At 56.3% G+C, this 14169-nt stretch overlaps 1 protein-coding gene across 5 annotated transcripts in view, besides 3 other annotated features; it reads left to right on the plus strand.

Annotated features, from left to right (window-relative positions):
- Positions 1-14169, plus strand: part of CDH4 (cadherin 4) — a 688357-nt gene that overhangs the window by 546526 nt on the left and 127662 nt on the right. The gene's annotated exons all lie outside the window — the stretch shown is intronic.
- Positions 3814-4334: an enhancer, noted in NCBI's record as "H3K4me1 hESC enhancer chr20:60377656-60378176 (GRCh37/hg19 assembly coordinates)". NCBI's record gives its function as "activates a minimal SCP1, AML or CMV promoter by ChIP-STARR-seq in naive H9 embryonic stem cells {active_cell/tissue: H9 hESC(naive)}" and the evidence as "EXISTENCE:reporter gene assay evidence [ECO:0000049][PMID:30033119]".
- Positions 4335-4855: an enhancer, noted in NCBI's record as "H3K4me1 hESC enhancer chr20:60378177-60378697 (GRCh37/hg19 assembly coordinates)". NCBI's record gives its function as "activates a minimal SCP1, AML or CMV promoter by ChIP-STARR-seq in naive H9 embryonic stem cells {active_cell/tissue: H9 hESC(naive)}" and the evidence as "EXISTENCE:reporter gene assay evidence [ECO:0000049][PMID:30033119]".
- Positions 10129-10842: an enhancer, noted in NCBI's record as "H3K4me1 hESC enhancer chr20:60383971-60384684 (GRCh37/hg19 assembly coordinates)". NCBI's record gives its function as "activates a minimal SCP1, AML or CMV promoter by ChIP-STARR-seq in naive H9 embryonic stem cells {active_cell/tissue: H9 hESC(naive)}" and the evidence as "EXISTENCE:reporter gene assay evidence [ECO:0000049][PMID:30033119]".

Genomic DNA, 14169 nt, shown 5'->3' on the forward strand with positions numbered 1-14169 from the left:
CAGTCTGGCAGGATGGCGGCTGTGTGTCCCGAGTCCAGCCAGGACACGGCGCTGGTCCCAGTCTCATTAGCTCACGTCGATGCGTCCTTTCCAAACTGGCAGTCAGTGAGGATTAGTCCCCACCGACCCGATGACCCGGGCTCCTTTCGCGACACAGGGCAAGGGCTGACAGCTACTGTGTTGTGATCAACAGTCCCCTGAGATTTCACTAAGCTCAAGGCTTTCTTAATGCAAACTTAAAAAGCTTTTAATGTATGTTAAGTAGATACCAGCTACTTGTCAGAGCTGTGGTTACTGAGGATTAATTTTATAGCTGCTACATTGCTCATCAACTGTTACTTGTAATTAGCCCTTATAAATGTTTCAAAATAATCAGATAATATTTGAATAGCTTAAGTAAACTGTCTTACTACCTCTATGAGGAAATTACGTGTGGAAAGCTATAAATTGGGAATTGCAAAGAGGTAGGTCTGTGCAACTGGCTGGTGTGAGTGTTGAGTTGGGCGAAACCCAGCTGCTACCTCCAGGAGAAAAAGGTTAAATACGCTTCATAATATAAGAGGATTATTTTAAATATTCCCATGAATTTCTGGAGAACACGAGCAAGCTATGAATGTTTTGAGGCCTCAATTCCCTGCAGGCTGGTAGGGACTTTGCATTTTAGAGTCGATCTTTGTGCTAACCGTTAACCATTGGCACCTGTGCCCAGAGCCTGGGCCTGCGTTTCCAGGTGGGTTGGCATCACCCTTTGTGGTCTGGAGAGGCCAGGGGGCTGCTCTCTCCCACGTCTCAGGAGATGCGTCCTGGGCTGCTCCTCCCCACCAGGATACCACACTCAGCCTGGGCACTGGGGATAGGAGGGGTGCTGGGGTATCTGCACAAAGGGCTGTTGAGCTGGGCCCAGGGAGCTCCTCTCCATCTCTCCTGGGTCCTTCAAGCCCCTCCCAGGGTATCCCCGCTCCTGGGTGGGCAGGGCGTGGGCCCGGTCACAGCGGTAACAGATTTCCTTCCCGTGCTGCCTTCACTGATGCTCAGCCCAAAAGGCCAGTCACATGGTCATGGCTGCCAGCCTCATAACACCACGGTCCCTGCGGGGCCTCGAGTGGGGCCTCTGCAGTGGCTCTGCCCCGCTCCCCATCTCTCATGCAACCTCCCTGAGAGCCCAGGGCCATCTCCGCTTGTCTTCATGGCCCGTCCCTTCCCATGACCCGCTCGGCTGCAGCGGCCCTCGGTGGGCACAGTCACCGGGCCGGCTTCCCCGCCTGTGCTTCCTCTGAGGGGTTCCCCAGCCCACAGCATGGTCCAGGGCCGGGTGGGGCCAGCATCCTCTACTCCCTCCTTGAAGCCTGTGCAGGGCTGCATCTTCTTTGTGTGCAAGCAAGCGAGCGGCCTGCAGCCCCAAGGGCCCTTTGTGAGTGCTGCAAAGCCCCGAAGACCAGACCGCACTCCCTCGAGTGCACACACGGTGCTTCTGGGAAGCTGCCCGGCCGCCAGGGGGGCAGAGCTCCTCGCCCCATGACCGGGCAGGGGCAGTTCTGCGTAGCCGACTCTTTGCCCCCTCCTTGGGCACTCCCTTTAGACTACGCCAAGAGTCCCATGCCCGCCGCAGGGCTGACCCAGCTTCAGGGCCACTGTCACTGCAACCATTTGCTGCACTCTTACCTTATGGCTCCACGGGGGATGGTGCTTCTCCCACCACTATCCTTGTGAATCTCCTCATCGCCCCCCACAGAAAGGAAATGGAGCCCAGAGAGGGTAAAACACCTGCCCAAAGACACACAGCCAAGACAGGGCAGAGCGGGGCTGCAGTGTGAGCCCTTCAGCTCCAGGACCACTGCCTGCCCTTAGGACCTGACAACCTTAAGTCCCCAGGATATGGGCAGGGGGCTCACAGGAAGTGCTGGCAGTGCCCGGCTCAAGGCAGAGCCTCAGGCAGGCCGAGAGCACAGATGGCCTCTTGGACACACCCCAAGGGGCCGGGGCTGGGAGACAGATGGGCTGGAACTCCCTGCCTTCCCTTGCCTGATAACAGGCCCACTGGGGACCCTGGGGCGTGTAACCTCTGGCACTCCACATCCTTAGAGCCCACCAGTGAGAATGGCCAGTGTCCACTCCACAGTGGCCTCGGGCCCATCTGCGCCACACATAGGGTAGGCCTGGGCATGGCTGCAGGGCCCTCCTGGGACCCTCCAAGCATCTTGGTTGGGGGCAGCTACGAGGGGCACTGATTGTCCCCTTCTCATCTGTCAGTTTGGGCACTGCAACCCCAGGCTTGGTTTTCGGTGGGGGCTTGAGAAACCCACCTTCTGCAGTGACATTAGTCCTCAAGACGCCACAGCACCGGGGCTCCTGCCTCCCGTTGGGAGGTGTTGAGGGCTTGGGGACAAAAGGCATGGACAGCAGCACCTCTCAGTGTCTGCAGGCTGCAGCGGGAGAGCCGGCAGAAAGCAGGGTGGTCCCCCGACACCTAGACATTGGGGGAGTGGGGTCAGGCAGCCTCTGGGCAGGGCCAGGGTGTCCAGCCGCATCAGCCAAGCGTCTCTCTAGGGTTGAGGGCATCAACCACAAACACTGGTGTGTGTGGTTAAAGCCATGGACCCTCAGAGTTCTGAGACGTCATCCCGAAGCCACCTGTCCTCTTCTTTGTGTCTCTGAAGTGCCGAAGTAGGTGTTCCTTCAGTGGTCACTCCCTGTCTGTGTGAGTTGCCGGGAGCTGCTGTCACAAATCACCACAAACCAGGTGGCAGAGAACAGCCCCGTGTAGCCCCACATGGTGCTGGAGGTCAGAGTCAGAGGTTAGTTTCTGTGGGTCAAAGTCAAGGGTCAGCAGGGCCATGCTCCCACTGGAGGCCCTAGGGGAGGACCCATCTCCTGCCCTTTCCCGTTTCTAGAGGCTCCTGCCCCACCTCTGTGGCTCCTGGCCCCTTGCTCTGTCTTCAAGGGCAGCAGCACAGCCTCCTCCAGCCTCTCTCTGCTTTCTTTCCACATCACCTTCTCCTCTGTAGTCAAAGCTCCCTCTCCTGCCCTCCATAAGGACCCTTCACATGGCCTTGAGGGGCCCCTGGGAAATCCAGGATGGGCCTCATCTCAAGATCCTTCACTCCATCACGTCTGCAAACTCTCTTTTGCCATGGAAGGTGGCATTCACTGGTCCCAGGATGAGAACCCAGATGTCTCTGGCAGCCGGATTCAGCCAGCCTTGCTGCCATAAGAGAATGCCATGGAGTTCCCAGACCTGTAAGTGGCGCAAGAGCGGGCCTCAATCAGGTCTGGTCTCTGCCCCTTTGTCCGGCAATGTCCTCAAGCCCTCCCCACCTTTCTCTTATAAACGAGGATGCCAAAGACAGCTGCATTCACAGAGCACCTCCTTGGAGCCAGGCCCAGGCAGACCCCTCCTCGGCTTCATTCAGCCCCTGTGGCAGCCCCAGAAAGGGCGCTACACACCCTGATCATGCTCTGTTCCCAGCAGAGACAACAGTCTCAGAGAGGTCAGGATTCTCACTCAAGGTCACACAGCTCAAAGTACAGAACTGGGCTTTGAACCCCAAAAGTCAGACTAAAGAGCCCACCCTGCAGCCACCCTGCTGTGTGTAGCCGAGAACCTCGTGGGGGTCAGTTGTGCCTGAGAAAGTATGTGAGGAAACTGAAGCTCCCCCAAAATCGTGGGGGTGGCCCCATCGTCCCTGTTTTCACTGTCTCTGAGTTAGTTGTAAAGAAAGGAATTTCTCTGCAGAGCATCGCTTTGAAGGAAAACTTACTTGGGGAAAAAAAAAACAACTGTCTCCGTTGGGAGCAATTTCCAAACGGGAGTCCACGCGTGGGTTTTTCGCTTGCTGCTTCAAGCAAATCAGCCATTTTCACTGCAGAATGGCTGCAAAGGAAATGGAGAAAAGGCAGAGCGCAGCCCTGGGAGCTGCCTCCCAGCCTGGGGGCCGGGCAGGGGGAAACAGGTGCCACCTGGGCCTAGACGGGGCGATGCCTGGGAGGAGAGGCTGGAGGAACCGGGCCTTCCCACCACGGGGCCCTGTCTGTGGCCACCGCCGTCCACAGAGGCTTCACAGGTGCATGCAGCGTTCCTCCCCGTCCTCCTGGCTGCTGCCTTTTGCGGGATAGTCGCAGGCTGGCTCTCGCTGGAGGGGCTTCTCCGAATTCTGTTTATCCTGGGTCTGGCTCTCTCCAACATGGCAGCTGGGGAGGCAGAGGAGGCGGCGTGTCTACCTTGTCACTGCCGGGGCCTGATTTACCAACAGGTCTGGACAGCGCTCCCCTCCTTCCCACGCCCCCACTGCTAATTGCCTGCCTGTAGAGCGGCCAGCCCTGTCTCAGCAGCGCGGCGAGTCGCAGCTCCGTCGTTGACGGTGTGTCCGCGATGTGCTGTGGGGTCCCGTCGTGGCGGCTGTGGACGGGCTGAGGTCTTCCTCTGGATGCTCTCAGAGTGGCAGGGAGCAGCCTGGGTACTCTCCACGCTCGGCACAATCCGCCCGGGCTGGCAGTTAGAGAAGCCAGGCAGAGAAGTGCGGCCAGAGAGGCTGTCCAACCCAATTTCCCCGGGCTGGGTTATTTGAAAGTCTAAAACTCCCTAATACCAAGAGACGGGCGGTATTTAAATTTAAGTCTGGCTCCCAAATGAAATCTTTTCGTTCAACTGTTCAACTTTATTTGGAAATATGAAATGGTAACTTGATTACATGTTAAGGTAGCTTTGGTCGGGGGATTAGAGCCGAAATCTCTGCCCCTCTGAGTTCATCCTCCAGCGAATGGAATCCATCCAAATTAGGAATCAGTTCTGCTACCGCGGGCGAGCCGCAGGCCTGGTGGCCTGGAGGGTGGGGCATCTTGAGGCTGCGGGATTCCAGTTACTCTGCATGGCCAGGATAAGGGGGCGCCCAGAGCTCTGCGTTCCCCAAGGGAGGTTGGAAGGAAACGTTCAACTGTGTGCTTCCCAGAGCCCTAGCAAATCACTCGATGTTTATAAACTGTCAGTGAAAGTCATTTGTAAGAAAAGCTCCATTTCCAGTGGCTCTGCAGCTTAGAAAACTCAAAACTGAAAAACACACGCCACCCAGGAAGGACAGGAGAAACGAGAACAGGCTCCATCGCTGCAGAGCGTGAGGCCGGCCCCCGCTGCGTCTGCTTCCAGGAGGCGGTGCCGAGACGGCGGAGGTAATGGAAGCAGAAACGAGTGAAACTTTTTTGTTGTGTTTAGCAAGTATCTCTTGTCAAGGAAGTTGCCAAACTCACAAATGTTCTTGCCAAGAGAGAGGCGCCTGCTCTCCACACGAGCTTGTTGTTGGTAAGGAGGCACGACAGAAAACGTGTCAAGCTGGGACCCGGAGCAGGTGGTGGAAACAGCAGTTTGCAGGATGTCGGTCCTGCCTGCATGGCGGCCTGAGAGCCGCCCGAACTGCTGTGCTGAGGACGGGGCTGGAGATTCGCCCTCAGGTGAGGGGCTGGCCTCTGCAGGTTCTGTTTTGTCTCTGAGGCATCACCAGACGGGTGTCACCAGCCACATGGTGCAGGTGAGGAGACAGAGGACCGAGGCGGGTAGAAGTGACAGGAGAGGCAAAGAGCTGTCCCCTGCACAGCCACTGTCCATGCTGTCTGACCACCCCTCTCCGCCGTCCAGCCTCTGCATCTGGCCTCGGCCTCACCCACTGCTGGCCACCAGTCACCTGGAGGTCAGCCACACCCGGGGGGCAGCTCTGCTGTCTGGACCTCTGAGCCACACCGAAAGCACTCAGTCCCCCTTCCTCCTGAAGCCTCCAGGTCCTGCCCTCTCCTTACCATATGGGTTCCCCTCTGAGCATCCCTCCTGTCTCCTCTGTGGACCTGCCCAGCTCTCGCCTGGTGGGTGTGTCAGGTTTCTGCTGCCTCAGTGTGGGGATCCTCCAGGGGAGGGAGTGGCCGTAGCCTCAGAAGTGCAGGGAAAGTCCAGAGGGGAGTCCCCGTGTGGAGGCATCACCATCTAAGTACGAAACCAGAAGAAGAGATGGCTCAGAGGTCTGGAGTAGAACAGTCAGGACTCATCTGTTGCAAGGGGCAGAAGCCAACTCTAAAAGGCAGAGGCCAGTGAAAAGTGCAAGATTTATGGGGCACATAAACGGAACATACAGAGCTGTCAGCTTCAGGCCCGGCAGGATCTAGGCGCTCAGACAATGCCAGAGTCAGCAGGCGCTTTCCCCTCATCCCGCAGACCTGCCGTCTTTGACATTAGCCCCGGTCTCCACAGAAGCCCCAGCGCCAGGCCAAGAGTGCATCCCAGTAACTCCAAGTTCGTGGAAAGAGAGGTCCTTTCCTTCTTGTCATTCCAGCAAACATCTTGGGAGTGACTCATTGGCTTTGATGGGCTCATATGCCCAGCCGGAAGCCGGTACGGTGCTGAGAAGACTCTAGGCTCTGCTTGGCCAGTCCTTGACCCAGCCCCCCATCCCTACCCAAGCTACTAGAACAGAGAGGAGCAGAGAAGAACAGCTCCCTAAGGATCCCTGGGGTGCTGTCCCCAGAAGAGGGGAGAGTGGACAGTGGACAGTGAGCAAGCAAAACAAACAGGCATCTGCTGAGAAGTGGCCAGGATGGCCTCTGTGTTGGCAGATGGAGGTGGGCAGCATGGCTGGGTGTCCCACAGAGCCACACCCGAGCCCCATAACCATAAAGGCCAGCAAGGGTCAGGGCCACCTTTCCGGCCAGGCACAACCTTTCCGGGATCCAGAGGGTACACTCCCCTGCCCGGCCTCAGACACTCGCCCTCCTGCGAGGAAACACAGGCTCCTGTGTGCAGCACAGAGAGGGCAGCCTGCCCGGGGGTCTCGGACCCACCCCAGGTCAGAATCACCTGGGGAGCATTCGACTGCCTGATGCCACCCAACCTACCGCATGGCAGAGGTATGTTTAAAACTCCCACGAGGCCAGGGCAGTGTATTGGGAGATGCTCAAGCTCATTGATCATCCGTGGAAAACAAACTCAGGGAGGGGCCCTCTCACACCGGCCATCACCCCAAGATCATCCAGCCCTGTGGTGGGTGCATGAGTTGTCACAGCCAGAGCTCCACAAAGCAGATTTAATTTAGAAAGAGCCAAAATATGGGATCTTCATTGCCCGGCAGTTGCCAGCTATGTAGGTATATGCTCAGGAGAGACCCACCATCACTCACTCGGTGTCCACTGTGGTGCTGTGGAAAGCTACGCAGGCCCGCTGGGAGGTGGGTGCTTGGGGCAAGGGGAAGGCAGGAAACCTCGCCTGGGGGCTCCTTCCGCTCTGTGGCACCCAGTACTGAAAGCATTGTGGTTCGGGGCACATTTAGAATGGCTGCAGGATGTCATTCTGGAAGGAATTCCACATGTGTGTCTGTTCTAGGCAACAGCCTATTCTGTAGGACAGTGCGGCAGTGACCTCTTAGTAGCCAAAAGGACCCTTGCGTCTTCCCAGATGTCAGAGCCAGGCGTCGTGGCCTGCCTGCCTGACTGGTTGGGGGTGGAGTGTTCTTGTCACCACTGGAGAGATGAGGAGGGGGGCGTCCACAGGGCTAAGGAAGCCTACCCAAAGCCTCATGCCCAGGACAAGGAGACCAGGCACCACCACCTCCCACGGGGTTAGGAACACACGGGGAGGACCGTCCACTCGCCTGCAGGAGGGCACCAGAAACACAGTTTGTGCGGCCGTGCACACCCAGGGTGAGGAGGTGCCCTGTTAAAAGGGAGTGGGGAGGCAATTCCATACCCAAGTGAGCATCTGAGGAACACGTGTGCACACACATGTCCACGCGCACGCACACACATGTCCACGCGCACGCACACACACATGCAGTACCATCGGAGCAGGTGGAGGGTGGGGGCTGTAGCAGAGGCCGGACTGGAATTGCTCAGGGGCTGCTGGAGGAGCTGCCTCACCTTTCCCTTGGGGCTGTTTAATTCTGCGGGGGAAGTGAGGACACAGGAGGAAACCTTGGTCCCTGCCACGGCTGCTGTGAGCAGACATCAGGGACATGTTCATCAACATGCATGTTTTGCCACACACATGTGCACACCGTCTCTGTGAGTGGGAAGTGTCAGCATCTGGGGGTGGTGTTTTGTGCCTGTTCCTGTCTCCTGCTGGGGAGGGGTGGCCACAGGGCCTGGAGGACCTGGGTAAGAGCCGCTGCACTCCAGGTTTTCCCGTAATGCACGGTACAGAGATGGGGGCTTCTCCAAATCACAGCTACACTTTGACAGGGGATCTTTTTTTAACTACTACAAAGCCCTCTAATAATGGGTTGCTAAGAAACTGACACAGGAGATGATTTTGAAAATGTCTCGCTCATCCCCTGATCTATGAGCTCCCAGGGCCCCGCAGCCCCGCCAGCCCCCAGCTGCAAGGCCAGTGGGGCAGGTGCCGGGAGGGCCTCGGGAGGTGCCTGGTGGGTCCTGCCAGACAGAGGAGTGGCCTGTGGGAGAACTGCCCTGGGGAAGGAAGTCAGTGATGTTGTAGAGACTGGGTGTTGTCCAGTCCATGGAGCTGTATTCAGAACCACCAGGGCCAGACCCAGCCTTGCTGTGGCCCCGCTGGGGTCTTTGGATCTCAGGAGAGTGGGCGGTGGGAGAGGATTCCCTGAGCTGTAGAGTTTACCCTCAGCTTCTCGTAACAGGGTGTCTGGGTACCTAAATGTCGGAATTTGAGGCTATTCAAGTTCAATGTGTTGGATTTGGAAATCTCCCTCCTCTTTCTACTCCATCTCCTCCCGGCTGGGAAGTTGCAGCCCTTTCTCCCCGTCAAGGTGCAGCTGTGTCCACCATCAGCGAGGGGAGTGTGACCAAGGGCAGGTGTTCCGTGCAGGGCTGGTTGGTGTGAGGCCAGCCACAGAGTGGTGGCCAAATAGCATTCGGGGAGGTAAACAGAAGATTGTGAGAACAGCTGGGGAACTGTGGACGGCTCTTCAGACTCAAACGGTGTGATGAACAAACCGACTCGGAAAATGCCTGGCGCCAGTAGGAGGCCCAGCTAGCTGGGAGTTCTGAAATATAGGAAGGGAAGTGATAGGACGTCTCTGCACACAGCACATATCCATGCAGGATGGTCAGTACTGTCGCTTTCGTTAGGTTAGAGGCCGTCCACTGGGCAGCAGGCTGTGGGCCTGGCGGGATGCAGGCACAGCGCGATCCAGCACAGTGCTGGGTGGTCTGGGTGCCGCCTCAGGGCAAGCTGCCATAGCAGCGATGAGCCCACACACGTCTCCAGCCCTGACAATGAACCAGTAATCCAGCTCCTGGGAATCCCGGCACAAGGGAGCTGAGACCAGCAAGTGTGGTCAGCATGCCCCTGCCACACAGAAGCAGCATGGAAATAAATCCTCCTTAGCTGAGCACTGGGCCCCCACAGCCTGGGGAAGGCTGCGGGGGCCCAGAACCGTGGCTCTGGCAGGAACAGAGCTGCAAGCCCCACCCCAGCCCTGGGTTCAAAATCACCCCGTCTCAGCCAGTCACTGAGGAATCCTCACTTCCAGAACCCCACTTTGATTTCAAACCTAAGGGATACAATCTGTTTTCTTGGACTTGTTTCAAATGTAGCAACACCAGCTGCAAAAATAAATAAATAAATAAATAAATAAATTTAAAAAAATACAGCTACGTCTCTGTGCAAAGACACATTTATAATCACTCCGCCCTGCAGTCGGTGGGGAAAGCCTCCGTGTAGACTTCATTTTGAGTCTGTGGGCACATTAAGGACAAACTCTAGATCTTAATGATGTGTAGGTTTTGTCTCCAGCCCTGGCTCAGCCCCTCCCAGATCTTGCTACGTTTCGGAACATTAAAGGGAATTTATGCAAAATTCCTCCTTAATGTGATTTGAAACAGAAGAGCAGCCCCACACTGGCCCTCGGAGCAGCTTCTCCGGCAGCACGCCCCTCCCCAGGCTGTGAGCCTGCAACTGCCTTTCCAGTGTGGGAGCTGCTCCCGTCCAACCCGCGTTCCTGCATATTGTCCAGTCCAGGCGCTGGCCAAGGGCGAGTGTCCACACCCGCCCGCCTGCCCCCTCCACCTTTGACTGGATTCCAAGAATACTCTTGATACCCTGATGTGTTTGTTTAAATCAACTTCTTTTTTAAACTACAGACGTTGATTTTCGAGGACATCTTATGGAGTCATTGTTTAACAACAACAGCAAGTCAGTAGCCATAAAGATAATGTGACTTTCTAGATTAAATACAATGTCAATACAGAAGTCATGTTATTGTCTAAAATGAGTGTGTGCCCACCCACCACAGAAGGCATCCCGAGTCCCAGCCACAGACGCCTGGCACCTTGGAAAATGCCCGTGTCCATGGCTGCAGGCACGTGGCCAGGGGTCCTCTGGACCCAGACCTTTGATTGGGAATTAATCTATATGTGATCTGATTCCGCGAATCCGGGTGGTGTCCTTTTCTTGTACTATTCAGACGTGTTTCTAGGAAGGACGTGCTGTCATGACCCGCCATGGTGGTCCCGGGGATGGTCAGCGGCGGGATGATGGGTGTGATGTGGTCCCGGGGATGGTCAGCGGCAGGATGATGGGTGTGACGCATCTGTGCTACTTGGGATTCAAATTCATCTATGATCTTAAATGTCGTGGCAAATTGCAAATGACACCCAGGAAGACAAGTTTACCTGTTATCTGCGTGGATTACATAACTAAAACCAATTCCCAGTTCCAAGTATCCTGAAAACAAGTGACATCTCATTAAAGATCAAAGTCCCAGTATGCTGGATGATTAAGTGTAATTATAGCCATACATACTCGACACGGGACTAATGAGTGTTCATGCTTGGAGGAGGGAAAGCAGGCTGTGAGCACACAAGGCATGGCTGGATCCCATTCTGGATCCGCCTATGCCGGGGACTGCATGACAATGGGCAGATGAGGAGGCCAAAGCTGGGAACTGGAGTTTTAATGCCAGGAGGGGTTCCGGTAGAAAGCAGCTATTTTCTAACCAGGGCGGTGTTTTTCATTGCTGGGAGGCTGTTTGGACGAAGGCAGAACCTTCCATACTTGCAAATGTTACAACCAACAAGTACCTGAGACAAGGCAGGTGTCTAGAGTGAGGACGGTGAGGTCGGAGCACAGCGGGGGGTGGGGGTCACTGCAGGCCACAGACCGTGGTGAAGAGCGTGTGCATTGCTCTCAGTGGCACAGGAGGCTGTTGCAGGCAGTCAGGGGAGGAAGATGGTCTGGCTGCCCTGTAGAAGACCATCGTATCAGTTGGTGATTGCCGTGATAATCCTGCATAACAACCACCCATAAAACCTCAGTGACATCCAACCACAAGTGTGTTTCTCACACATCCAGAGGTTTGGCTAGCGTTGGTCAGACCTGGACGGGCCTCAGCCGGGGTGGGGTGGGGGGCACCTGAGCCTAGACCTGTTCTCAAGACGGAGACAGAGATGGGTGAGGGAGGCCGGGCCAGCCACACTAACATCCCACTGGCAGACCCCGGGAAAGGCCATGGCCACCCACATGGATGTGTGGGTATGGCCACATGTGGCTATCCACCGGGCCAGTCGGGGCGGCTGTGCCAGGCTGTCGTCCCCCCCATGAGCCTGCTGTGTGTGTCTGTGACAGAGTTCCTTGTGCCATTACCAGGACTCTTCCCAGCAAAAACTGCCCTCGGCCAAGTTTCTGACCTGGGTTCTCAGACCCAAGTTCTGACCCGGGTTCTCAGACCCAAGTTCTGACCCACTCTGCTCACCCGCAGTGGGAAGGAGCAAGGGAGCGTGTACGGGAACCAGAATCAGGGAGCCACAGGCACACAGGAAGCCCGAGAGAGCCCCAGCCCGTGTGCCCGCCTCACCCTGCCTCCTGCCTCCCGCCCTGCTCCCATCCACCACTACCAACACCTCCCAGCCCCCTAACAAGCCAGGAACCACTCCAGGGCTATAAAACATTTAATTTTGGAAAAAATCAGTACTCTGCCGCTAGATGACGTGTAGCCGCATTCAGGGTCTGGCTGCCAGGGCAGAACCAAGCAGGGCCCGCAGTCTGCAAGAACTCCTGGGACCCCCAGATGCCTCGGTGGTCACTTCTCCAGTCTCAGCTGCTCAACAGAGCCACTGCCCCTTGGCCCGGCTTCTCCAGAACGCAGCCAGCACAGAGGGTATGGCCGCTCCAGGAAGCTTCGAGACGGGGGCTGCAGGAGCCTGCAGAGCCTGCGTTATCCTGCACTGCAAATGATGCTGCATTTGTAACGGGAGCTAGAAAGGAATCAGTCAAACGAACTCATGGCTCTTCATCCCCTGCAAAACTAATGGCGCGGTGCTGACTGCCGCATCCTCAGCAGCCGCGCCACATCCTCAGCAGCCCCGCCACCGCCTGTCACACCTGCTGCTCTGGAAGAACAACAGAAACCACATTTCCAAAAAACCAAACATCCCCAAACTCTTAGAGAAAAAAAAAATGCAATCCCTGCTGAGGATGTGAACCAGGTGAAGTGAAGAATTGCTGGAGGAAACATCCAAACGGCTTGAACTTTGGCAAGGAGCTTTTCCTGAAAGCTGGGATCCACATGCCGGCAGCCCAAGACCGCCCTCATCGGGGGTGGGAATGAAATGCCCCTTCCCGGCTTACACAGACACAGCCCAGGAGAAAAAGCAGTGACCATTTGCCTGAAATCAAGATCACACTTTTGACAATCTGAAGCAAGGAAAAAACAGCAGACATCTATCTGTATGCTTTTGCCATGAGGAAAGGAAGCTCATTTCAGAGCAGTGGAATCAACCAGTTAGAAATGGGAAAATGGTGGTTCCCTAGCCCAGAACATCCCAGGGCTCCCTGGCCTTGCCAGTGCTACTGTGTGAAAGCGGAGCCCACCAGCCCACAAATGAGCCCAGCCACTGCCACCCGGGGTCACGCCCCTGCCACCCGGGGTCACGCCCCTGGCTGCCTACTGAGCTTTTTTTTTTTTTTTTTTGAGTTGGCACCCCCAGGCTGGAGTGCAGTGCCACGATCTCCACTCACTGCAACCTCTGCCTCCCGGGTTCAAGCAATTCTCCTGCCTCAGCCTCCCATGTAGCTGGTACTACAGGCACACGTCACCATGCCCGGTTAATTTTTGTATTTTTAGTAGAGATGGGGTTTCACCATGTTGGCCAGGCTGGTCTCGAACTCCTGACCGCAGGTGATCCACCTACCTCGGCCTCCCAAAGTGCTAGGATTATAGGCATGAGCCACTGCACCTAGCCGCCTGCTGTCCTTCAGACTCCCCGCCTGGGCTTGGGTTTGAGGCCCTGTGTGGTTTTCCCATCTGCCCGCCTTCGTCTTTCCTGTTTCTCCCCCGCTGCGGGGGACACAGCACTCTCACCGTGCCTTAGTTCATCTGCTTCCAAGGGTGGCTGCCTAAGCTTCACTCAGGTTTTCTAGAAGCAGAGCTGAGACTGGGGTTTAGGGGCATGTTATTGGGGGCGGGGTATCAGGGAGGGAAGTGGTAGGGGTCGGGGAGCAGCTAAGGGAGGGCGTGGTTGCAGCCAGAGACGGTCTCAGCCCCATCCCTGCCAGAGCTGAGGAGCACAGGCTGGCCTGGGGTCCCTGCCCTCAAGCCGTCACTGGCCCTGGGCTGCTGGGCCTGCCGGGTGGGGCTGCCATGGGCCAAGGGCAGCTCTCCAGAGATGGGGCAGCTGTGAGCTGTTAACAGCCAGCCCCCAGCAGCTGGAGAAGGGGTTCGCTGCCCAGGGAAATGGGTCTGGGCCTGGTACCGACTGCACCAGCTTCCACCTCTCTCTTTGACGTATCCTTTAACCCCCGAGAGAATTTCAGCCACCATACCTGGTCTGTATTTTCAGTCAAACCATCGCAAACATAGTCTTAAAATTTCATGAACACATTCCCTGCCCCTGGTATGTAATTTAGTCACTGACCAACAGATATTAACTGCAGTTATGTAGAAGATTGCTCCTTGCCAGCCAACGCCCTTTGGGGATAATACGGGGAGTTGGGGCTTGGATGTGTGCATTTTCCACGATTTGCATTTGTACAAAATGCTTGCAACCTCCTATCCCTCCCTCAACTACTGTATCCCAAATACGTGGAGGGGTTGTGCTCTCCAGGCCATGACAGCCATGCAAGCTTCTTCCTGCAGGCCACCTGCACAGCCAGGAACAGATGAGGAAAAATCACAGCCGCCTGGTAACACACAAGCCCTAACATGATGACCAAATGGGGACTCTGTG

The sequence above is a fragment of the Homo sapiens genome, chromosome 20, assembly GCF_000001405.40.
Source record: "Homo sapiens chromosome 20, GRCh38.p14 Primary Assembly".
Classification (NCBI taxonomy): domain Eukaryota; kingdom Metazoa; phylum Chordata; class Mammalia; order Primates; family Hominidae; genus Homo; species Homo sapiens.